Genomic DNA, 26,102 nt, shown 5'->3' on the forward strand with positions numbered 1-26,102 from the left:
AATTAAGCATCAAGAACCATGGATTTTTGTCTAGGTTTACTAATAATTAGCTGTATGATCTAGGAAGATATCTCTAAAGAGTTAAAGTTAATTTTTAAATTCCTGTCAATTCTGAAATCCTATTCCTAATTTATGCTGTCAGTGTTCAATTAAATAGCTTACTAAACTATGAATACATAAAGCTTTTTTTTATGATTCTGAGATATGATGTTAATAACTAGTATTTACTGAGTGCTGAATATAAGGCAGTGCTAAATATTTAGTATACGTTATGTTTTTCATAGATTGTGCTCAAAGCACTGATACAATAGAAAATATAACAAAAAGGCATCTACTTAAAATAGTTATAAATTTTTCTTTTAAAATATATTTTAGTACATTGTCTAAGTCAATTTAAAGAAAAATAGTGAATAAAAATAATACAAATGGTATAAGGATATGGGAGAAATCATAAAAGTAATATAAAAAGACCAAAACTTTATTACTTAATAACTACAGTTTATCATTTAATTCTCCCTACTACTCTAGGTCCTGATATGCCCATTTATAGATGAGGAAATGGACTTGGGTTAAGTAACTTACCAATAGCAGCTCAGACTTTCACCTGCCTTGGCCTTGTTTCTAGAGGATGAGCTCTAATTATTTTTCAATGCAAAGTTAAAGTTTGTTTTTTTAGCCCACTCTCAGCTTACTATTTTCCTCAAATCAATTGCTGTTTTAACTTTGCTCTTTTCTTTTAATAGACTTTATTTTGCCATAATTTTAGATTTACAGAAAAGTTAAAGTACAGAGAGTAGCAGTGTATCTCTTACCCTGTTTCCTCCATTCTTAACATCTTATGTTATAATACTTTTGTCAAAACTAAGAAACTTGTATTGGTATAGACTTTTTTTTTTTTTTTTTGAGATGGAGTTTCACTGTGTTGCTCAGGCTGGAGTGCAGTGGCACCATCTTGGCTCACTGCAGCCTCCACCTCCAGGGTTCAAGCATTTCTCCCGCCTCAGCCTCCCAAGTAGCTGGGATTACAGGCATCCACCACCATGCCCGGCTAATTTTTGTTAAGATGGGGTTTCACCATGTTGGCCATGCTGGTCTCAAACTCCTGACCTCAAGTGATCCCCCCACTTCAGCCTCCCAGAGTGCTGGGATTACAGGCATAAGCCCTTGTGCCTGGCCCTAAGCACTAGACTTTATTTGGAGTTCACCAAATATTGGTAGTGGTATATTACTGTTAACTAAACTCTAAACTTTATTTGGAATCTTCTATTAATGTTTTCTTTCTGTCCCAGTATCCATTCCAAGGTACTATATTACGTTTAATTGTCATGTGTCTTTAGTCTTATCTGTGACATTTTCTGTCTTATTTCTTTGTTTGCATATTGCCAGCTGGACGTTGATATTTCCAACTCTAATCCAGTACTCCAGGATTTATTCTATCCTTTTTTCATCTGTAACTTCCTTCTCGGACAGTGAGACACTTAGTTCCTACTATTCACTATCCATCTACTTATTTGTTCTGTCCCAGTAAACATGTAAAACAGTTTCATAATTGTTAATTCATACCCCTGTGAGAAATAACCAATTAGAGTGCAATTTTTTTCTCTTTGAGACAGAGGCTCACTCTCACCCAGGCTGGAGTGCAATGGCGTAATCTCAGCTCACTGCAACCTCTGCCCCCAGGGTTCTAGCGATTCTCTTACCTCAGCCTCCCAAGTAGCTGGCATTACAGGTGTCTGCCACCATGCCCGGCTAATTTTTTTGTATTTTTAGTAGAGACGGGGTTTCGCCACGTTGGGCAGGGTGGTCTCAAACTCCTGACCTCAGATGATCCACCCGCCTTGGCCTCCCTTACCTTTCATCTCATAGTTCATGTTGAGGTTGAGATGAATCTTATCTAATTCAGTCTCTTTTTCTATATGTAATTATTGCTGAAGTAAGCTTTTGTGGAATCCTATATCAGCTCATGCCATTCTTCTCTAAATGTGATATATTTTCAATTTTTTCCCTTTGTAGAATTCCATATATAGTTAAATAATATATATATATTAAATAATATATTTTTTAGGATGACAGGCGTGAGCCACTGCACTCGGCCTAGAGTGCAATTTTAAGTGCAATCTTTTTGTCTTTATCCTTATAACTTCTAGTCAAAACACCATTTGCTAAAGTTACTTAGGACAGCTTCTCTTTTTCCCCCTACCTCCTTCAGTGTCGTTATGCTATACAGTTCTAATATAGTTAGATTCATTTCTCACAGTCTGCATTCCATCTTAGGCTACCTCAGTAGCCTGGTTGATATTTATATGTATTTTTTTTTCTCATTTGATGTACATTGGAGTTCATTCTTTGTGATTTTTACAGTTCTGTGGGTTTTATCAAATGTATAGAATTACGTATTAGCCATTACAGTACCATACAGAACAGTTCCTTCACCCTAAAATTTCCCTATGCCTACATTTTATTGTTACTCTCCTTCCCCTCAGCCCCCTGGCAACAATTAATCTGCTTTTTATTTCTATAGTTTTACCTTTTCCAGGAAAAACATTACACATATATATCCTTTGGGGTCTGGCTTATTTCACTTAGTAATACATTTAAGGTTCATCCATGTTGTTGGGTGTATCAGTAGTAATTCTCATTTATTGCTGAACTATTGACATACCATAAGCATTCTTTATATATTCTGGATACAAGTTTTTGATCAGATATATGATTGCAAATATTTTCTCCCCTCAATCTGTGGCTTACCTTTTCATTCTCTTTATTTTTTGTAGAGCAAAATTTTTTAATTTGATAAAGTCCAAATTAATTTTTTATAAATATATTATGCTTTCGCTGTTGTATGTAAAAACTTATTACCAAATCCAAGTTCATGAAGATTTTTCCCTAATATTTTTTCTAGACATTTTATAGTTTTATGTTTTTCCTTTATTATTAATTTTTTTACAGAGACACAGTCTCACTAAGTTGCCCAGACTGGTCTTGAACTCCTGGCCTTAGGCGATCCTCCCACTTTTGGTCTCCTAAAGTGTTGGGATTACAAGCATGAGCCACCACGCCTGGTCATAGTTTTACATTTAGATCTGTGATCCATTTGAGTTAATTTTACATAAGGTTTGAATAGGTGTAATTTTTTTGCATGTGGACATTTAATTGGTCCAGCACCATCTGTTGAGGACTGTTTTTCCTCCATGGAATTACCTTTGCCTCTTTGTTAAATCTTGATCTTGAGTATTATTTTGTCTTATTAACCTTTGAAATCTTATGAATTAAAGCTTTGATTTTATTTGGTAATACACATTATCATGATTTTTCCCCTACCAGTTTCTCCTAAGTCCACTGTCTATCCAATCTTCAGTGCATCTTCAGTCAATTCAAAAAGGTGAGAATTGTTATTGTTTTAAAGTCCAAGCCTTGTAAATTATACAGTTCCTCTGGGTCTCTTTTTCAGTCTCATGCTACTTAATTTGGGGAGTTTTTTTTTCTTCCTCACTAAGGGGAATAGGAGAATAATATTGAGAATAGGGTGATGAAATCAGTCCCTCATAGAAACATCATAAGAACTTAAGAGTTGAGAGATGGAAAAGATCTTTATATACTTGAGTAATAATAATTGCTAACATTATTATATAATACCTTACCCATAATAAGTAGTTTTATATCTATTATCTTAATTTTCACAACAACTTAGAAGTTAGATACTATTATTCTGTTTTCAGCCTAAGAAACTGTTAGTAATTTAGCCACAGTTGCCACAGCTATTAGGTGCTAGGACCAGGACTAGAATCCATATCTGAACCAAATGCCCATTAGGTTATATTGCCTTCCCTGGGTGATAGTATAGTAGCTACAATTTAATAAGCATTTACAACTTCATGATGTAGGTACCATTATTACCCCATGTTGTAGATGAGAAAGCTGGCTGGAGGAGTAAGTAACTTGCAGCAGCTTAATGTTATCATAAAGTATAGCTGAAGCTACCAGTACCCAAGCTAAAGACTGCAATGGAGGAGGCATGGATGGGTAGAGAGCATGATAGGCGGCAGAGCTCTGAAAAAGTAGTTTCTTATGGTCTAAACATCCTCTTCCTAAGCAGCTTTGATTCTTCTCTCCCCATTTGATTATAAATAACTCCAGATATTAAGCAAGGAACTTCCCGGCTACATTTTCCTTACTCTCAGAGCACCTCACCTTAAATTGCCTCAGTGATTAGGATGGGTGCACAGCTTTCCCTCTTCAAAGGTTTGTTTCTAGTTTTTCTCACCTTTCCCATTTTTCACCTGTGTTGTCATCTTTCATGACCTTTTATTGAAGATGGGAGCTGTCTTAGTTCATTTTGTGTTGCTATCACAAAATACCATGGACTAGGTAATTTATAATGGACAGAAATTTATTTGGCTCACAGTTATAGAGGCTGAGAAGTTCGAGATCAAGCAGCCACATCTGGTGGGTGCCTTCTTGCTGCATGATCCCATGGCGGAAGGCAGAACAAGAGAGTGTGCATGAGAGAACAAGAGAGCTTGGCTTGCAGCCTCACATCCTTCAATAATCAACATTAATCCATTCATGAAGGTGGAGCCATCATGAGCTAAACACCTCTTATTAGGCCCCACCTCCCAAAACTGTTGCACTAGAGATTAAGTTTTCACACATGAACTTTGGGGGACGTGTTCAAACCATAGCAGAAGCCTACCACAATTAACTGATAAAAGTGTATACTAATTTAGTCTAGCATAAAGAGACAGGCCAGGCGCAGTGGCTCATGCCTGTAATCCCAGCACTTTGGGAGGCCGAGGTGGGTGGATCACCTGAGGTCTGGAGTTTGAGACTAGCCTGGCCAACATGGGGAAACCGTCTTTCCAAAAAATACAGAAATTAGTTGGGCATGATGGGGCATGCCTGTAATCCCAGCTACTCAGGAAGCTGAGACAGGAGACTAGCTTGAACCCAAGAGGCAGAGGTTGCAGTGAGCCAAGATGGTGCCACTGCACTCCAGCCTGGGCAACAGAGCAAGATTCCATCTCAAAAAAAAAAAAAAAGACAGTGGGATACTATTTGTTAAATAATATGATATTGCTCTTTTTGTAGACTCCAAAACGTCAGTTATCAGCAATTTGAGATTTAATCTATTACTTCAGATGATTACAGATTCTCAAAGTGCTTAGTCGCACATTTGTTTTTTGGTTTTTAAAATTCAATGAACATTTAGAGAGTATCACATGCTATTGAACTATACTGAGTTCTAGAGATGTGAAGATAATTAATGTGGTCTTGCTATCAAGGAGGTTATGGTTAGAGGAGGGTAGACATTTAAACAAATATAGTGTTAGAGTTGCTAAAATGGAAGCAAAGAGATGGCTGTCACGCATGCAGAGTCAGGGAGAGCCTAGCAAAGGCTGCATAAGGTGAAAAGGGTCAGTGACTTGAACAAGTGTTTTTTCATACTGTAGGAAGTAGCCCATTAGTAGTTCATCAGACCAGTTTAGGGTGTCATATCTTGTGACAGTTACTATGGGACTGAACGAAGGTGGACGAACGCAGAAATGAAGACAAAGACAAAAGGATCTTTTTAAAGAAGGGGTCGGGAGCTCCTGCTAGTGAGCAAGGGCCCTGAGCTTTTACAGCCTTTTATATTTATTGGGTAGAAAGAGCAGGGAGGAGGAGGTAAAGGTCAGCTGCTTGATTTATCACAGGTTCACGTGATTGCTAACAGGCTTCAAATGTGCCTATAGATAATCGCAAGAAACACTGTGCCTGGGCATGACTGCCCTCAGCATTCCTTCTGGGTGGCAGATGCAGTTTGTCAGTTTGCCAACAACCTGCATTCATGATAACAGTTTGCTGTTTGCTCATATAGCCTCCAGTGGTATACTGAGTTAGTCACAACCCTCATTCTTTTGGCCTCCAACAATAGCATTTATTTTTAGTGGAATAGTGTATCTCTCACACAGCAAGTATATTTAGTGAAACTTTGGTTTTATGTCTGTACTAGTCATGTGAAATGTATTTCTTAGCATAGATTTGTCAAGTCAGTTTGAAAACTACTTTTCAGACAAATGGTAAGAAGATAGCTTGACTTAGCTTAATGCAGTGGAGCTAATGCTCCACCTTTTTTTTTTTTTTTTTCTACTTTGTCAGGTTTTTTTTTTTCCTGTTGTTTGAACTTCTTACTTTTGGTACTAGGGTTTTTTTTTTTTTTCTTTCTTATTTACTTCTACTCTTTAGGGATTTCTACTCCTTTGGTCCCTGGAAAACCAAGGTCCTTTCATTACAAGGCAAGGGTTACAAACTCAGTACCTACAGAACCAGCAGGCTGGGTGGAGACTAGGGCCAGCTGAAGAATTGCCCACTTAAAAGGGCATGTGCTATTCCAAGTTCGAACTCATAGATTCTTTGATGGAGTAGAGGTTTAGTGATCTTACAATGTCTCTTAATATTGGAAATACACATTTTTAAGTGAAATCTCTAGATTTTAAAATATTGGTAGCTAATCCAAAGTTTTTAAATACCATATGGGCCAACCAAAACATATCTGCTAGCTAGATTTGGCCTGAGGGGCTCCAGTTTGCAACCTCTATAAGTGAATCTCAACATTCTTTCATAATAGGTAAAGGTTGTCTCAACTACAGCTATCCAGCCTAAATATGTTTTTGTTTTTTTTTTTTCCTTAAGAATTTCACAGTAGTGAGATGCTGCTTTTGGTATGAGGAAAAGCAAATTTAGAAGCTTCATTGCCCAGGTGCTGGGTCATAATATGATGGTGACTCTGATTTCCTGTGGATCTGTGAAGTTCAGTATTATACTTATTTTCTCCAGTACCCCAGGAATTTCTTCATAGCTGTATGGGGTAAATATTGTCCTAAGATTTGATAAAGCAAAAAAATCTTTTTTTAAAGGGCAAAGTCAATTTCCAAAGTGTGCATCTATGTGCATCTGATATTGTGGAAGAAAGTCCCTAGGACTTGGAGTCAGAGGACCAGGATTTGAGTGTTAACACTGCCATTTACTAGTTACTTTACCTTGAGTAAATTACTGACCCTCTCTGAGTAGGCCTCAGGTTTCTCTTTGTTCCTGTCCTTATTACTTCATCAAGTTAATGTCAGATAGAAAGCACTAAAAATTGCAAGGTACTCTGATAAATGGCTGCTTTCTTTCCCTTGTAATTCCTCCAAAATTGTAAATTTATATATATCAACTTTCTGTGTCAAGATCTTTAGGTGAAGAACAGTTTTCTGTGGGATCTGTCAACTTCATGAAACAGACCAATATCCAGAAAAATACTAATACCAGAGATACAAGTAAAAAAACAAAAGACCAGCTCATCATCGTGAGTAAATTCCAAACAAAGCTTCTCCTATCTAGCCCTTTGCAGAAAAGCTTGCCAACCCCTGTATTAGACAGTTCAGAACTTGGTATTTTCAATGTCATTAAGCAATGTTTTATGTGACAGAATGGGAGTTGTAGGTGGTGACATTGAATATTCTTGAATTTATCTGTGCTTTTCCTGCACTCTATTTTTTGTCAACTCTTGGGTCAAATAATTTTAATATTGTTTAAAATAATTTAATATTCTTAGCTGCTTAAGGAAAAATATTGTATAATTAATATAGAAGTCCTAAAATTTTTGCCCTCCCTGTTTGAAATAAGGCTTTTTCAGGTCTTTAAGGGTTTCATTAAAAAGTTCCGTTGTTCATTTTAGCTGTAATTTCCACAATTTAATCTTATTCTTTCTTAGAACCATGAGTCTAGTAAATAATCTTGTAAAAATAAAAAAATCTTTGGTTTTTACACTGTCCATTCAAATAATTCCCTTTCATCAATTTATTGCATTTTTAGGTCTCTTGTCTCTTTTTTTTCCCCCCCCAAAGAGATGGAGTCTCACCATGTCGCCCAGACTGGTCTCTAACTCCTTGGCTCAAGTGATCCACCCACCTCAGCCTCCCAAAGTGCCGAGATTACAGGCGTGAGCCACTGTGCCTGGCCTGATCTCATTTCATTTTGTCTTGGGGGAGGGAAGGAGGATATGGTAACCAGATTTTCATTTAGTTTTTCACTTGTGTCAGCAGGAAAAAAAAAATTAGGTGAAATTTGAATGAATGGTTATAGGAACTTAATTTAGAGCTATTTGTGCTATATTTAAATGGGTTTCTTTTTTTACCCCCCAATTATAGGACGCTGGTCAGAAACATTTTGGGGCTACTGTGTGCAAGTCTTGTGGTATGATATATACTGCTTCCAACCCTGAAGATGAAATGCAGCATGTACAGCATCACCACAGGTTTCTGGAAGGAATCAAATATGTGGTGAGCCAAAACATAGTCTTTCAGTTTGTTCTAGAAGTAAAACTAAAAGAGACATTTCTTTTCCACCACCTCTACCACCCAGCCGGAAAAGTTAACTTTTAATGATGATGTTTCAAGCTTACTATCTCAATTTAAGATAAATATTTTGTAAACACTGCATTCTGAGCAGAGCTGAACAGTCCAGATATACAAAATTCAGAGACTGCAGAGATACTCTCTTCCCACTATAGTGTTGTCTTTATAGGTAGCCTTAGGAAAAAAATAGCCTTCCCATGACTTCTCCAGGTTTTTTCTGAGAGGAGAGGTCCCACCCATTTATTAAACACCTTTCAAGTCCAAACACATCCTATCATTGGCCCTATCTTTATGATTGTACCTGCTACTCAGATACATTCCTTTTTCCCTATTTTTATTGCCACGGTTAATGCCTTCACAATATTTTTAGCCTGTTTATTGAAATGGCTTGCTTTCTGGGTTCCCATAGTGCTACCAGAAATAACGTTTTAAAACATAAGTCTAGGCCGGGTGCAGTGACTCACTCCTGTAATCCCAGCATTTTGGGAGGCCGAGGTGGGTGGATCACCTGAGGTCAGGAGTTTGAGACCAGCCTGCCCAACATGGCGAAAACCTGTCTCTACTAAAAATACAAAAAATTAGCCAGGCGTGGTGGCGGGTGCCTGTAATCCCAGCTACTCGGGAGGCTGAGGCAGGAGAATCGCCTGAACCCAGGAGGTGGAGGTTGCAGTGAGCCAAGATTGTGCCACTGCACTCTAGCCTGGGTGACAAGAGCAAAACTCCATCTCAAAAAAAAAAAAAAAAAGCCATAGATGAAACATAAGTCTAGTATGATTCTACATACTTCTGGAAAGAAAAAGTTCCCACCAGAAGTTTGGTGCTCTTTAATCTGGCCTCAACCTTTCCTATATATGTGCATATAAAATACATACAAAAGAGAAAGTGTGTATGTGTGTAGTTTAAATTCTTGCCCTCTCTGATCTGATCTCTACATCAGCCAGAAAGTTCTTTCTAAAACATAGGTTCTGACATTGTCTGCTTCAAATTTGACAGCTTTCTGTTGCACTAGGAATAAAACCCAGACTCCTTACCTTGGCTGACAGATCTCTTCATATTTGGCCCCTGCCCACCTTGTCACATGACACATTCCCTCTCCAGCTCTAAGCTCCTGCCGCTGGAATAAGCCACATTCTCTGATGAAGCCAGACTATACCATACGGGATTTCTTTCTTTAATTTGTGGAAACATACTGGGCATGTTATCCTTTATATATTTTGAATATCATTCCTGGGTTACAAATACATTCTCCCTGTCCCTTTTTTTAAGGTTTGAATTTATATTTTTGATATAGTAATACTTTCACATGATTCAAATTTCACAGAATGCAAAAGTATATCCAGTGAAAAGTGTTTCTCCATACCCCTTCCAGAAACCTCGTTCCCCTATCTATAGGCATCCAGCATTAACAGATTCATCTATATATCTTTCAGAGATATTTTCTGCATATACAAGCAAATACCATTACTTGGATTTTTTTAACCTTTTTGTGGTGTATATTGCTACAAAGAAAACATTTTTATTTAGCTAGTTTGTGACCTTTGGTTTCTTAAGTCAGGAACATCATCTCAGTCCCAAAATTAGTAAGTTTTTCCTATATTTAAAAAAATTTATAGCTATAAATTTTATATTTAGACATTTAATCCACTGGAATTTTTTCAAGACATAGTGTTAGAGATGGATCCTTATATTTTTCCTAAAGGACTGCAAAGTGTGCCAACATTACTGTTTGACTAGTTTATCTTCCACACTGATTAGCAATGCCACGTTTAATGCATACCAAATTCCCACATATAAATGGGTTTGTTATTGGACACTTCTGCACCATCCATTTGTTCCTGTGCTAGTGCCATACTTTTATAAATGTAGCTTCATACTGTATAGTTAGGTAAGTTCCCTTTCATCCTTCTCTGTAAAAAATGTCTTGACTTTTTCTGCACATTTACTCTTTCAATTAAAAAGCCTATCACATTCCCCCCAAATGAAAAACCTATTCGAATTTTTATTCAAACTAGTCAAACTAATGCCATTTTCTCTAGAGAAAAAAAATCTTAGTATAACTTAGGAACTTAGTATAGCACATACTATTATATAAACTTAGTATATACTGTAGTATAAACCTAGTGTATACTTAGAAACTTAGTATACCTCTGATTGATTCATATCTTTGATGTCTTTCAGGAACATTTTATAGTTTTGTCATGGATCTTATTAAATTTATTTCTAATATTTCAACCTCATTTTTTCCAATCAGTCAGTTATACCAGATTTTTTTGCCATTCTCTGCACCTTTGCTTATTCAGTTAGTTGCCTTAGCCTGAAGGCAAGTTAACCACCTTCCCCATTATGCTCACTGACATCTTACCAAGGTTTTTAAACCCTTTTCAGTACCATAATATTTCAGTATCATTCAAAGACTAGGGCCACATGCCAAAGCACTATGCTGGGGGTTGAGATTAAAATAGTTGTAAGACTGCACCCATCTGTGGTCTTGTCAAGCATAAGGGACAAACGTATAAGGACTTTTACTTAGCCTTTTCTTGGAATTTGGCTTATTCTTCTACCCCTCCCCTACCTGCCCACTGGTCTTGAACTCCTGACCTCAAGTGATCCACCCACCCGGGCCTCCCAAAGTGCTAGGATTACAGGTGTGAGCCACCGCACCTTTACCTCTTTACCTTGTTTTATAGTCATATACATGTCTTCAGATAGGATATCAGCTTGTTGAGGCCAGATACCTGTTTTAGGCATCTTTTATTTCTCTTCCCACATTACTTTTAGTTGGATTTCATCTTCTTCTTTTTATATCTATTATTGTTTAGCCTTTTGTCTTCTCCACATCAAATTATTTAATGTTGGTTTTTTTTCCTCTTCACAAATTAAACTGTGACCCTTTTGTTTTCCTTTGGCAGGGTTGGAAGAAAGAACGTGTAGTAGCAGAGTTTTGGGATGGGAAAATCGTGTTGGTTCTGCCACATGATCCAAGCTTTGCTATCAAAAAGGTATGGAACATTATCTTTTTATCTCTTGCCTTTCCCCACCCCCAAGAAATCAACCTATGTTGAAGTGCAAACTGCCTTTGCTGACAGATAATTCACTTGGGTACCTGCTTAATGATTACTTTCATAGCAATTTATACAAAACTAAGAATTGTAGGACAAAGGAGTAAAGAAGGCAGATAAGGCTCCACAGCTTATCTTTTATATTCATCTTTCCCTTGTGAAAGATAAACTAAGCTTTCAATGTTGAGAAATTAATGGCCCCCAGGGTCTATTTCTTATATTGGTGTTGCTTGTGTTTCTGAGGTTGAATGTTTAGCCACCGTGAATAATGAATAAAGCTAAAACAAATCTGTTTTAATGCTTCCTATTCCTTATCCCTCCCAGGTGTCTCAATTTCTGCTGAAAGTGATCTTTAAAATAGGTTCTTAAAACCTTGTTTCCACAGTAGCAGCTACATGCATCAATAGTGAAATAATTTTGGAGGTGTATAAATTTAAGAAATAGAAATTAAAGAGGCTAAAGTAACAGTAATCATACATTCTGTGTATATAAATATGTATAGTTTCTATTGTACTTTTTAAAACATTCACCTGTCTTGGTTTTTAAAATCATTAGGTAGAAGATGTCCAAGAACTTGTTGATAATGAATTGGGCTTCCAGCAAGTTGTTCCTAAATGTCCAAACAAAATAAAAACTTTTCTTTTTATATCTGATGAAAAGAGAGTAGTTGGGTGTTTAATTGCAGAACCCATCAAACAGGTATGGTATATTTGTTTTAAATTATTGGCATAATTTGCAGGCAAAATAAAGAAAAGTTGGGAGAAGTCTCAGCATTTAAGATTGCTACCATTAATGACACTCTTCCTACTGAAATATCCTTGACCTAGTGGATAATTGAAGTTATTTATTTCCATTAATATTTGGAATTTTGCTTTGTATAAACAGGATAGGTAAGCCAGTCTTTTATGTTCATGTAGTCATTAACACAGCTGGATTATAAAGTCTAGTGATTTTAAGTAAACAAATCTATAAACTGAAATTTTTAAACATGTGGCTTAGTGAAGGTTAATATTTTTGGCAAAATAGTCATTACTTATCCCTTAATTAGAATCTAATTTAGGTACTAATTAGCAATGTTCTAGAAGACATGTAGTTTCTCCTTGTGTTATTAGAAGTTGGAGAGAAAAGCAGCTTTTTTGTATTTTTGCCAGTATAAGTGATCAGTTTGGCCTTTTCCTTCCCCCTCAGCTTTATTAAGGTATAACTGACAAAAATTGCAAATATTTACAGTGTACATGTGATATTTTGATATAGGTATACATTGTAAAATGACTAAATCAAGCTAATATAGCTATACCTCACATACTTACCAACTTATTGTGATGAGAACATTAAATCTACTCTCCTTGCAATTTTCTTTTTCTTTGTTTTTTTTTTTTTTTTTCTTTTTTTGAGACCAAGTCTCACTCTTTTGCCCAGGCTGGAGTGCAGTGGCACGATCTCGCCTCACCACAACCTCCACCTCCTGGGTTCAGGCAATTCTCCTGCCTCAGCCTCCCAAGTAGCTGGGACTACAGCCGCGTGCCACCATGCCTGGCTAATTTTTGTATTTTTAGTAGAGACGGGGTTTCACTATGTTGTCCAGGCTGATCTTGAACTCCTGACCTCCTGATCCACCTGCCTCAGCCTCCCAAATTGCTGGGATTACAGGCATGAGCCACCGCACCCGGCCTTTAGCAATTTTCAAGTATACATTAGCTGCAGTCATGCCATACAATAGATCTGCAGAACTTACTCATGCGAACTTAAACTTTGTACCCTTTACCAACGTTTCCCCATTTCTCCCATCTCTCACTCCCCCAGCCTCTGGCAACCACCATTCTACTCTGCTTCTATGAAGTCAACTTCTTTAGATTCAGTATGTAAGTGAGATGTTGCACTATTTTTCTTTTTTGCTTGACTGATTTCACTTAGCATGATGTCCTCCAGGTTCATTCATGTTGTTGCAAATGTCAGGATTTCCTTTTTAAAGGCTGAATAGTATTCCACCTGTATATGTACCACATTTTCTTTATTCATTCATCCATTGATGGACACTTAACGTTGATTACATATCTTGGCTATGAATAATGCTGCCATGAACATGAGAGTACAGATTTCTCTTCAACATACTGATTTCAGTTCCTTTGGATATACACTCAGAAGTGGGATTGCTGCATATGGTAGTTGCATTTTTATAGTAATCATTCTAACAGGCGTGAGGTGATCTTGTTTTAATTTGCATTTCCTTGATGAATTAGTAATGTTGAATGAGCATTTTTTCATATGTCTGTTCCTGATTTGTATGTCTTCTTTTGAAAAATATCTATTCTGGTTCTTTGCCCATTTTTTAATCAGAGTATTTGTTTTCTTGGTATTGGGTTATTTATATATTTTGGATATTATCCCCTATTGTATACACAAATTTTTTTTCCAATCAGTAGGTTGGTTAGTTTGTGTTTATCCACTCTGTACTATGCAGAAACTTTTCAGTTTGATGTTACATTTATTTCTTCTTTTATTGCCCACATTTTTGGGGTCATAGCCAAAAAATTATTGCCCAGACCGATGTCAAGCTTTTTTCTCATTTTTTTCCTTATAGTTTTACAGTTTCAGGTCCCTCATTTTAAGTCTTTCATCCATTTTGAGTTGATTTTTGTATGTGGTTTGAGATAAGTCTCCAATGTTATTCTTCTGTTTGTGGATATTCATTTTTCCCGACACCATTTATTGAAGAGACTGTGTCCTTGCCCCATTGTTTGTTCTTGGCATGTTTGTCAGACACCAGTTGACTCTAAATGCCTGGATTTATTTTATCTGTTTTGTTCCATTGGCTGCTGTGTTTTTTAATGCCAGTAGGAGTGCAGTGCCCCTCAGCTTTACTCTTTGGTCTAGATTGCTTTGGCCGTTTGGAATCTCTTATGGTTCCACAAGATTTTAGGACTGTTTTTTGTATTTTTGTGGAAATGCCATTAGAATTTTGATAGGGATTGCATTGCATTTGTAGATTGCTTTGGGTAGTATGGACATTTTAACGATATTAATTCTTTCAAGCCATGAACACTGGATATCCTTCCATTTATGTAGATATTCTTCATCTTCTTTCATCAGTGTTTTCTGGTCTTCAGTGTATGGATTTTCACCTCCTTGGTTAAATGTATTCATAAGTGGGGTTTTTTATGCTATTATAAGTGGATTGTCTTCTTGACTTCTTTTTAAGATAGATCATAGTTTGTTTTTCCTGTATAGAAACACTACTGACTTTTGTATGTTGATTTTGTATCCTGCACCTTTTCTGCATTTGTTTATTCTAATAGTTTTTTTGGTGGAGGCTTTAGGGTTTTCTGTACATAAGTTCATGTCATTTGCAAACAGATGATTTAACTTCTTCCTTTAAATTTGAATGCCTTTCTTTTTTCTTCCTAATTGCTCTGGCGAGGAATTCCAGAACTATGTAGAATAGAAATGATGAGAGTTAGCATCCTTGTCTTGTTCCTGATTAAGAGGAAAAGATTTCCACTTTTCATTGCTAAGTATGATGTTAGTTGTGGGCTTGTGATATATGGCCTTTAGTATATTGAGGTACATTCCTTCTGTACCTAATTTGTTGAGAGTTCTTATCATGAAAGGATGTTGGATGCCTTTTCTGTATTGAGATGATCATATAGTTTTGTTCTTCATTCTGTTAATATGGTGTAACACATTGATGTGCATGTATTGAGCCATCCTTGCATCCAGGGATAAAGTCCACTGGATCATGGTGTACTATGCTTTTAATGTGCTAGTTTGCATCTGTTTATCAGGGATATTGGCTGGTAACTTCTCTTGTAGTGTCCTTTTCTGGCTTTGGTATCAGATTAATCTGGCCTTGCAAAATGACTTTGGAGGTATTCTTCAGTTTTTTGGAAGAGTTTGAGGATTAGTATTAGTTCTTTAAATATCTGGTAGAATTTAGCAGTGATGTCATTACAGATGGGCTTTCCTATGATGCAAGTTTTTTTTTTTTTCTTAAACTGATTGAATCTCCTTTTTATTGGTTAGTTTAGATTTTCTGTTTCTTCATGATTTGGTATAGGTAGGTTGTATGCTTCTAGGAATTTATTTCTTATAGGTTACCTAATTTGTTGATATATGATTATTCATAGTCTCTTACGATCCTTTGTACTTCTGTGATAATCAGTTGTAATGTCTCCTCTTTCATTTGTGATTTTGTTTAGTTGAGTCTTCTTTTTTCTTAGTCTAGCTAAAGGTTTGTCAATTATCTTTCAAAAAACCAACTCTTCATTTTGCGAATCTTTTCTATTTTTTGAGTCCCTGTTTAATTTATCTCCACTGATCTTTATTTTCTTCCTTCTACTAACTTTGGGCTTTATTCTTCTTTTTCTAATTATTTGAGGTGTAACGTTAGGCTACTTGAGATCTTTCTTCTTTTTTTATGTAGAACTGCTTTTGCTGCATTCCATAGGTTTTGGTGTGTTGTGTTTCCATTTTCATTTGTCTCAAGAAATTTGTCAATTTCCCTTTTAATTTCTTTGATCCATTGGTTGTTCAGGAGCATGTGGTTTAATTTTCACATATTTGTCAGTTTTCTACTTTTCCTCCCGTCATTGATCTCTAATTTTATACTGCTATGAATGTTCTGTGTGCACTTGAAAAGAGTGTGCATTCATTCCGCTGCTATTGGATGGAATACTATATGTGTTTCTGTTAGGTCCATTAGGTCTGAAGTGTAAGTTCAGTGTTTACTGGCTGAACTCAGTGGCTCACACCTGTAATCCCAACACTTTGGGAGGCTGAGGCAGGAGGATAGCTTGAGGCTAAGAGTTCAAGAACAGCCTGGGCAACATAGTGAGACCCTGTCTTTACAAAAATTAGCCAGGCATGGTAGTGCATGCCTATAGTCACAGGTACCTAGGAGGCTGAGGCAGGAAGATTACTTGAGCCCAGGAGTTCGAAGCTGCAGTGTGCTATGATCGCACCAGTGCACTCCGCTCAGGGCAATAGTGAGACCCTATCTCTTAAGAAAGAAAAAAAAAGTTCATTTCCTTATTGATTTTCTGTCTGGACGATGTATCCATTGTTGAAAGTAGGATCTTGAAGTCCCCTACAATTTTGTATTCCTATCTATTTCTCCTTTCAGAATCCTAAATATTTATATATTTAGGTGCTCCAATGTTAGATGCATATGTATTTACAACTGTTTTATCTTAATGAATTGACCCTTTTATTATATAATTACCTTCTTTGTCTCTTGATGGTTTTTGACTTAAAATCTATTTTGTATGATGTAAGTGTAGGTACTTCCTGTTCTCTTTCGGTTTCCATTTGCATGGAGTCGTTTTTCTGACCCTTCACTTTCAGTCTATGTGAGTCTTTTGTAGGCAATATTTAGTTGAGTCTTGTGTTTTTATCCATTTAGCCACTCTGTGTGTCTTGATTGGCAAACATATTCTATTTACACTTAAAGTAATTATTGATAAATAAGGATTTACTATTGCCATTTTGTTTTGTTTTCTGGTTGTTTTATATATATTCCCTTCTTCCTCTCTTGCTGTCTTCCTTGGGATTTGATGATTTTCTGTAGTGGTGTGCTTTGATTTCTTTATCTTTTATGTATCTACTATAGGTTTTCGCTTTATGGTCATGAGGCTTACATAAAATATCCTATAATATAACAGCCTATTTTAAGCTGATAACAATTTATATCACCTACAAAAGCTCTGCACTTTTTTTCCCTTCAACATTACTAATTTTACAGTTTACATCTTTTTATGTTGTGTATTTATTTAAGAGGCCTTTTCCTTCTTCGATCTCAAAGAAGTAGACTGTTATGTCCTGATAATAGGCAAGATGTAGCTAACTAACTGTTCTCTTCTACTCTCAGGTCAGAAACAATGTTGTGTTGTTCGTAATTAAAAACTAAATACACACCTGTCAGAAGGGTAACAGTAGGTAAAGAATTGAGACAATACCAAATGCTAGTGAGGATATGGGGAAACCAGATCTCTCACACCTTGTTAGTAGGAATGTAAAATATTACAGCCACTCTGGAAAAAGTTTTGAAGTTTCTTTAAAAACTAAACATAGGCCAGGCGCAGTGGCTCACACCTGTAATCCTAGCACTTTGGGAGGCCAAGGCAGGTGGATCACCTGAGGTCAGGTTCGAGATCAGCCTGACCAACATGCTGAAACCCCCCGCCTCTACTAAAAATACAAAAATTAGCTGGGCGTGGTGGTGCATGCCTGTAATCCCAGCTACTTGGGAGGTTGAGGCAGGAGAATCACTTGAACCCAGGAGGTGGAGGTTGCAGTGAGCGAGATCGTGCCACTGCAATCCAGCCTGGGCCACAGAGTGAGACTCCGTCTCTTTAAAAAAAAAAAAAACTAAACATGTATTTACTATATGATCCAGCCATTGTTCTCCTGGGCATTTAAGTAAAACAAAGGAAAACTGATGTACACACAAAAACCTGTACAAGAATGTTAATAGCAGCTTTATTAGTAATAGCCAAAACCTGGTAACAACCAAAGTGTCCTTAAATGCTTTAGGTGAATGATAAGCTATGATACAGCCATATGATGGAATATTACTTAGCTATAAAAAGTAACAAAGAATTGATACACTTAACAACTTGGATGAGTCTCAGGGGCATTATGCTGAGTGGGAAAAAGCCAATCTCAAAAGGTCATATGGTATATGATTTCATTTATATAATATATAACATTCTCATAGCCATGGGGAATAAATTGGTGGTTGTCAGGGACTGAGGATGGGAGAGGGGGTAGTGTGGATGTGACTATAATGAGGAAGAAGATCTTTGTGGTGACTCAATAGTTCTGCATTTTGATTGTGATGGTAGTTAAATGTATATACAGGTGTGATTAAGTGTCATGAAACTATACACACCATTATACCAATGGTAATTTCATGGTTTTGGTATTATACCAGTTATGGAAGATGTAATCATTGGGGAAAACTCAGGGAAGGATACATGCTCCTCTGTAGTGGTTTTTTTCAACTTCTTATGAATCTATTTCAAAATAAAAATGTTTAAGAAACGAAATGCCAACCAAATTTCATAGTTAATAGATATAAATCTTCTTTAGTGTTACTGGTTTCTTTAGGTGGTCATATATACATTTTAGGATGGAGAGAATGAGAGAGTTTTATATACTTTATTAAAAGGAAGAGTCTAATGTTTACAATTGTTTAAGAGGAAAGTCTCGTAATGCTATGGGACACACTAGAATTTGTGAATGTCTCAACACCACTAGTTTTTTTAAAGCATTGTGTGACTAAAGGGATAAGAATTTAAGAAATAGAAAATATTTTTTAACATACTTGGAGATATAAGTTAAATTTTTGATACTTATTTAAGGAATTTTTTTTTAAAGCAGTGTGAACTCATCTGTGGTGTTAGCTATAGATGCTTCTGTATATCATTGCAGGCATTTCGTGTCCTGTCTGAACCAATTGGTCCAGAATCCCCAAGCTCTACGGAATGTCCTAGGGCTTGGCAATGTTCAGATGTACCAGAACCTGCAGTCTGTGGGATAAGTAGAATCTGGGTTTTCAGACTGAAGAGAAGAAAGCGCATTGCAAGACGACTGGTTGATACCCTCAGGTAAGAAATAAAATGGATCTAGATCCAGAACCTTAGATTCATAGCTTTCCCAGAACCTCTCGGCTTCTGAGCTAAAGGGAAGGATATTGGTAAGATACTTCAGTATAAATACTATTAAAGTCAGGCTAAGGAAGGTATTGGTACTAGAAAAACCATACTAGATGTACTCAGTCTAGGGTGCAACATTCCAGGTCTGAAACATACTAGCCCACTGCTTTTCAAACTACCTGTGCTAAAGGACTAGTTTAATTTGTCACAGACCAACACTAATAAAATAAAAATGGATTGCTAGAAAAAAATAGAAAAAACAAAACTACAATCTCAAATTGTTTTAGACTTAACAGATGTGAAATTACGCTTCAATAAATATAATCTATACAAAGTAAAGGTTTGAAAAATTACAGAAGCTGTACATGGTCATTGATAGTGACTAGATAATGAAGACTTGGTATAACTCATAAGCATAACTAAAAAAGTGGATTTGTGAGACAATCCATAGAACGAGAGAAAATAGTTGCAAATCATTTGTCTAAGGGTCTAATACCCATAAAATAATTCTTATAACACAATAAAAAGACAACCTAATTTAAAAATGGACAAAGAATTTCAGTAGACATTTCTCCAAAGATAAATTGCAAATGGTTAATTCAACATAAAAAGATGCTCAACATCTTTATCAGGGAAATCACAAAACAAAACCATAGTGAGATCCCACTTTATACCCAGTAGGATGACTGTAATCAAACAGACAAGTGTTGGTGAGGATGTAGAGGAAACTGAAACCCTTGTACATTGCTGGTAGGAATGTAAACTGGTGCAGTTGGTGTGGAATACAATCTGATGGTTTCTCAAAGTTAAACTGTTATGTGACCTAGCAGTTTCACTCCTAGGTATATACTCAAGAAAACATGTCCACACAAAACCTTGCACATGAAGGTTCATAGCAGGATTATTTATAAAAGCCAAAAAAGTGTAAATAATCCAATCTGTGATTAATGGATAAATGTGATATATCGATACAATAATAACAATGGGATGTTATTCAGCCATAAAGGAAATTCTGGCACACACTGCAACATGGAGGAACCTTGAAAACATTATGCTAATTGAAATAAATCAGTTGCAGAAGATCGCACATTGTATGATTATATTTACATAAAATGTCCATAAGAGGCAGGCAAATCCAGAGGCAGAAAGTAGATGTGTAGTTTCCAGGGACTGAGGAAAGATGAATGGAGAGCAACTAATAATGAGTACGGGGTTTGGGATGATAAAAATGTTCTAGAATTAGATAGTGGTGGTGACTGGACAATATTTGTTAATATACACAAAACCACTCTGTTGTACACTTTTAAAGGGTGAGTCTTACAGTATATGAGTTATATCTCAACCAAAAAAATGAGTGTCCAGTTTTAATTCCCATGTACACACTTTGAACTGACACTATGTATTGATGTTTAAAGTTTCCAATGTCACAAACAAGCCTGTTTGCTAATTTACCTAATCTAGGTTATATGGATGAGTTTCACAACACTTGCTCTCTCAATTTCTACACATATTTCATCGTGTAGATAATAGGTTACAAACCAGTAAGCACACTTTAACCAAACCAAAGACCACACTTTGGAATAGTGTTATTCAAGCCTCTTGCATTCTATGCCACTTTTAAAAAATAAATGCCAACACCATTATGGGGACCGGATCTTGGGCCATAAATCCTAGTCAATCACACATACTTACAAAGGGTATCAGTAGGAAAAATTGGTATCTTAAAGATTTTTGTTTGATTAGTTATGAAATACTTTTCTATGTTTTATATTAGATATATAAATTTGGTATGAGGAATACCAGTATCTAACCTAGTTCTACCATATTATGTATTTAATTATAGTTAATATATTAGAAGCTTATATCTTCTAATTGAATCAAATTCTAAATTTTTATTCCGAAATAATTTCAAACTTACGAAAGAACAAGAGTAGTAGGAAGCCTTTGTCAAGATCTATTAAGTTCAACATTTACCTCATTTGCTTTACCATTCTATGTTTAGATAACCTTCCTGAATTATTTTGTTACATATATTATGCCCCTTTACCCCTTCATGCATTGGTGTGTTTTTCTTAAAAACAAGAATATTCTCTTATATAACCATGATACAGTTATCAAATTTGGGAAATTTAATATTGATGTAATGCTTTTATTTGACAGTCCATATTTCACTTTTGTCTGTTGTCTCAAATGTCCTTCATGGCATTTTTTTTTTTTTTTTTTTTTTTGCCCAGTATCACATTCAGCATTTAGTTTTCACGTCTCTTTAATCTTCATCTTCCCTAATCTGGAACAATTTCTCAGTCTTTTGACATGGAAAAATTTGAAGAGTGCAAGTCAGTTATTTTATAGAATATCCCTCAATTTTGATTAATTCTTTTTTTTTTTCTTTCACAAACAAGCTGTAGGAGATGTTGAATTCTTTTAACCATTTCCTTATTACTTTTAATCCTAAGGTAAGCAAGATCAAGGAGAGTTGTAGTCAAAATGCAGATTAGTTTTTCCCTTCTTAAAGCTCTCAGTGGATGTTTACATTGAAAAAATATATATAGGCTGGACGGTCGCTCTTGCCTGTAATCCCTGTACTTTGGGAGGCCGAGGCGGGTGGATTACCTAAGGTTGGAAGTTCAAGACAATCCTGGCCAACATGGAGAAACCCTGTCTCTACTAAAAAAAAATAAATAAATACCAAATTAGCCGGGTGTGGTGGTGCATGCCTGTAATCCCAGCTACTCGGGAGGCTGAGGCAGGAGAATCGCTTGAACCCGGGAGGCGGAGGTTTGTAGTGAGCAGAGATCGTGCCACTGCACTCCAGCCTGGGCGACAAAGTGAGACTCTGTCTCAAAAAAAAAAAAAAAAAAAAAAAATATATATATATATATATATATATATTATATATATATATATATAGTTACTGCTTAAGATTGATTTTTTTTGGTTCTAATTATCTTTGGCTTTTAATTAACAATATGATCTTTTTTTTATTTTTATTTTTTGATTGAGTTGGAGTCTCACTCTGTTACCCAGGCTGGAGTGCAGTGGCGAGATATCGGCTCACTGCAACCTCCGCCTCCTGGGTTTAAGTGATTCTCCTGCCTCAGCTTCCCAAGTAGCTGGGACTACAGGCATGCACCACCATGCCCGGCTAATTTTTGTATTTTTAGTAGAGACAGGGTTTCACCGTGTTAGGATAGTCTCGACCTCGTGATCCGTCCGCCTTGGCCTCCCAAAGTGCTGGGATTACAGGCGTGTGCCACTGCGCCTGGCCTAGCAATATGATCTTATATTAGTTGCTCTTTACCATGGATATCCTAGAGTTAGGTGGATGGTTCCCTTTGCCTCTCATCAGAATTTTTTCTGGACCTTAGTTTTCCCATCTGTGAAATGATATCATTAGACTTCTGTCTCTAAAATATAAGGCATTTTTTCACTTACTAAAAATAAGGTTGATTTAAGTCAAGAGTATTTACTTAAATTGTGCTCATGTTAATTAGAATGTTAAGTTGCTTCCATCATTAAATCATCTTTTCTTCTCTTTTAGGAATTGCTTCATGTTTGGCTGTTTTCTCAGCACTGATGAAATAGCATTTTCTGACCCAACACCAGATGGCAAGTTATTTGCAACCAAGTACTGCAACACCCCTAATTTCCTCGTATATAATTTTAATAGTTAAAGCTGATTTCAGTTATAAAGGAGTTACTATCTGGATAAGTTCAAAGAGCTCCTTATTATAAAATACAAACTATTTAATATCAAAATAAAAAATACCGAGACTCACACTCATACACACACACACACACACGCACACACACATATCACAGTTTTGTTCCTTATGAGTTGAAAAGTCAGGAATAAATTTGTTGAAAATTATCTGGGGATTCAAAGGAAAAATCTTTGGGTGATTCCCTGATTAGCACTCTGAATGTTTAATTATGAAACTTTGTAGCTATAACTGGAAAATTACCTGACTCTTTGTAAGAGTATTAAATACAAAGTGATTTTTCTCTAGAAATGTGACCTGGTCTTTTATAAAGCCCACTCTTAGACCAGGATTATCTAATGCCACATCAGAAGCAAACAGGCAAATTTAAACTTGGGCAAGTAATTTCTGTGCCCAATTTGTAAAGGGAATTCCTGAATTTTTTTTTTTTTTTAATAGAGGCATGGGTCTCACTGTGTTGCCCAGGCTGGTCTGAAACTTTTGGGCTCAAGCGATCCTCCCAAAACGCTGGGATTACAGTCATGAGCCACCGTGCCCAGCCTAATTCCTGACTTCTCTATACAGAGTCTTCACTTGATAGGCACTCGTCTGTAGTAACTCAGTTTGAATATCTTTAGAAAATGTTTAGAATTTATTTGTAACAAGATGGTAAGGAATAAGATTATCCCATATGCATTTCTGTAGAGCAGAATTTGATAGCTTAGTGTTCAATCTTTTTGAAAATAAATGTTTACCTGTCATCAGATTTAATTAAAATTATACTTAGTAATTGCACTATTACTTAGTTAATTTTTGTTGTATGGAAATATTGGTAGTACTACTTTGGGAACCTGTTACTGACAATTGATGTCATTAACAAAATGCCTAGTTGGATTAGATGTTTTCATTTTCTAATTTTTTGCTTGTTTAAAATGCACCTTACTTGTTCTGAGATACCTGGCAAAAGTCTTTACAAAATGTATGGTAATAGAACCAAGGTTAGTAAATATACATAGGCTGGTGGATGAGAGACCATGGAACTGTGTAAATACACTTAAATGTTCACACATTTTTCTAGTGTAATTCTTGGATACTTTAAAAAGCAAAACATTGTTCAAATTGTTTTGATTCTGAAAAATCATTCAACTGCTAACTGGCAATAAGACTCTAGGCAAGTCGTTTTCCAGATTGTAATTATATGTAGAAACTATTCATCTGCATTCATTTTATTTGCCTGTAAGTTAACATGTTTCCAAAATTTAAAAGCCTGGGTCCCCAAAAGAATGTGGAAGTATTAAAATGTATGTAATTATGCAAACATTTTAATGCTATTTTCTGCACTTATTTCTTTTAAATATTTTATTTAAAATTTTTAATTAACATTTTGTTTGCTTAATGCTTTTGTTATGAATCAATTAAAATTCTTTATTTTATACAACTAAATCTGATTTTAATTATTTTATTATGAAAATAGTATATGTTAAATAAAATTCAGATAATACAGAAATAGAGATTGCCAAAAGAAGAGGCTTCCCGGCCGGGCGCGGTGGCTCACGCCTGTAATCCCAGCACTTTGGGAGGCCGAGGCGGGTGGATCATGAGGTCAGGAGATCGAGACCATCCTGGCTAACAAGGTGAAACCCCGTCTCTACTAAAAATACAAAAAATTAGCCGGGCGCGGTGGCGGGCGCCTGTAGTCCCAGCTACTCGGGAGGCTGAGGCAGGAGAATGGCGTGAACCCGGGAGGCGAGCTTGCAGTGAGCCGAGATTGCGCCACTGCAGTCCGCAGTCCGGCCTGGGCGACAGAGCGAGACTCCGTCTCAAAAAAAAAAAAAAAAAAAAAAAAAAAAAAGAAGAGGCTTCCCTTAATCCTGCTTTGAGTTTAGTGCTTATTACTTTAGAATAACTAAATACATATGCAGTTATTTTGCATCTTGCCTCACTTCAGTATGTCTTAGATATGTTGTATTTCAAGAACTATTTCTATTTTAAATATTTAGCATGATTTGCTATTGATACTGTTGTCTTGGTTGGGTGTTTTTTGTTTGTTTGTTTGTTTTGTTTTTAAGTATAACACATACAAGAAGCAAGTGCACTGAGATGGTCTCAAAGCAATGATACCCTAATGGCAATGAGCACACCTACCACCCAGATCTTGGTTGGTTTCTTTCTTTTTTTCCCCCGCCCTGGGCTGAAGTGCAGTGGTACAAACACGGCTCACTGCAGCCTCGACCTCCCAGGTTCAAGTGATCTTCCCGCCTGAGCTCCCTAAGTAGCTGGGACTACAGGTGTGTGTCACCACGTCTGCTTAATTTTTGTATTCTTTTTTTAGTAGAGACAGAGTGTCACCATGGTGCCCAGCCAGTCCTTAAGCTCCTGAGGCCCTTGAGCTCCTGAGCTGAAGTGATCCTCCCACTTCAGCCTCCCAAAGTGCTGGATTATAGGTGTGAGCCACGGCACCCAGCCAGATCTTGCTTACTAATACCTTCTTCCACAAAAGGACCTGGGGCTCTTTGGAGAAATGGCTCATTCTAGGGATAGGGCAATGAATGTACAAGATGAGCCTAGATCACCTTGTACATCCCCCCTTATCTGCAATTTCGCTTCCCACAGTTTGTTACCAAAAATATTGCATGGAAATTTCTAGAAGTAAGGAATTCATAAGTTTTAAATTGCCCACCATTCAGAGTAGCCACAGTGGGGTGATAAGTGCTCAGTTAAGATGGAAAAGGCATTAAATTTGTGGGCAGAAGACATGCACAGAAACATATTCCTATTGAGGGCAATCAGGTTGAGTACTGTCCATGGTTTCAGGCATTCTACTGGGGGTCTTTGTCATAAATTGTGCCAATATATGTGTATGTCTATTTCTGCCTGTGTATTCTTACTAATTTTATATAGGTTCTATTTATGCTAATACCAGACTGTGTTAATTATAGTATCAATGTTTGCTATAGTATTAGTACATGGTCCCACTTTTTTTCTTCGGTCTATTATTGGACTTTGCATTTCCATATACATTTTAGAATCAATTTATTCCACAAAAAGCTACCAACAACAAAAAAGCCTGTTGGGATTTTATTGGAATTGTGTCAGATCTATAGATCAATTTGGGAGGACTGATTTTTAGACTTGCTCAAGTATTGGATACTTTCTTTTTTTTTTTTTTTTTAGACGGAGTTTTGCTCTTGTTGCCCAGGCTGGAGTGCATTGGCACTATCTTGGCTCACTGCAACCTCCACCTCCCGGGTTCAAGCTATTGTCTGCCTCAGCCTCCAGTAGCTGGGATTCCAGGTGCATGCCACCACGCCC

At 36.5% G+C, this 26,102-nt stretch overlaps 1 protein-coding gene across 5 annotated transcripts in view; it reads left to right on the forward strand.

Annotated features, from left to right (window-relative positions):
* Positions 1 to 26,102, forward strand: part of ESCO2 (establishment of sister chromatid cohesion N-acetyltransferase 2) — a 47,687-nt gene that overhangs the window by 8,702 nt on the left and 12,883 nt on the right. For 3 of the 5 annotated variants that reach the window (XR_949378.4, XR_007060703.1, XM_011544422.3), the window contains exons 5-11: positions 3,325 to 3,382; positions 7,210 to 7,327; positions 8,172 to 8,303; positions 11,288 to 11,377; positions 11,993 to 12,136; positions 18,866 to 19,041; positions 22,631 to 22,698. Coding sequence is in view for 3 of the 5 variants with exons in the window: in XM_011544422.3 (XP_011542724.1) it covers positions 3,325 to 3,382; positions 7,210 to 7,327; positions 8,172 to 8,303; positions 11,288 to 11,377; positions 11,993 to 12,136; positions 18,866 to 19,041; positions 22,631 to 22,698 (786 nt within the window). In the remaining 2 variants the exon portion in view is untranslated. Of the gene's footprint in view, positions 1 to 3,324; positions 3,383 to 7,209; positions 7,328 to 8,171; positions 8,304 to 11,287; positions 11,378 to 11,992; positions 12,137 to 18,865; positions 19,042 to 22,630; positions 24,642 to 26,102 lie in introns of those variants that run through there. The other 2 variants (XM_011544421.3, NM_001017420.3) reach the window with 1 other exon arrangement.

Source organism: Homo sapiens, chromosome 8 (assembly GCF_000001405.40).
Source record: "Homo sapiens chromosome 8, GRCh38.p14 Primary Assembly".
In the NCBI taxonomy this organism is placed as follows: Eukaryota; Metazoa; Chordata; class Mammalia; order Primates; family Hominidae; genus Homo; species Homo sapiens.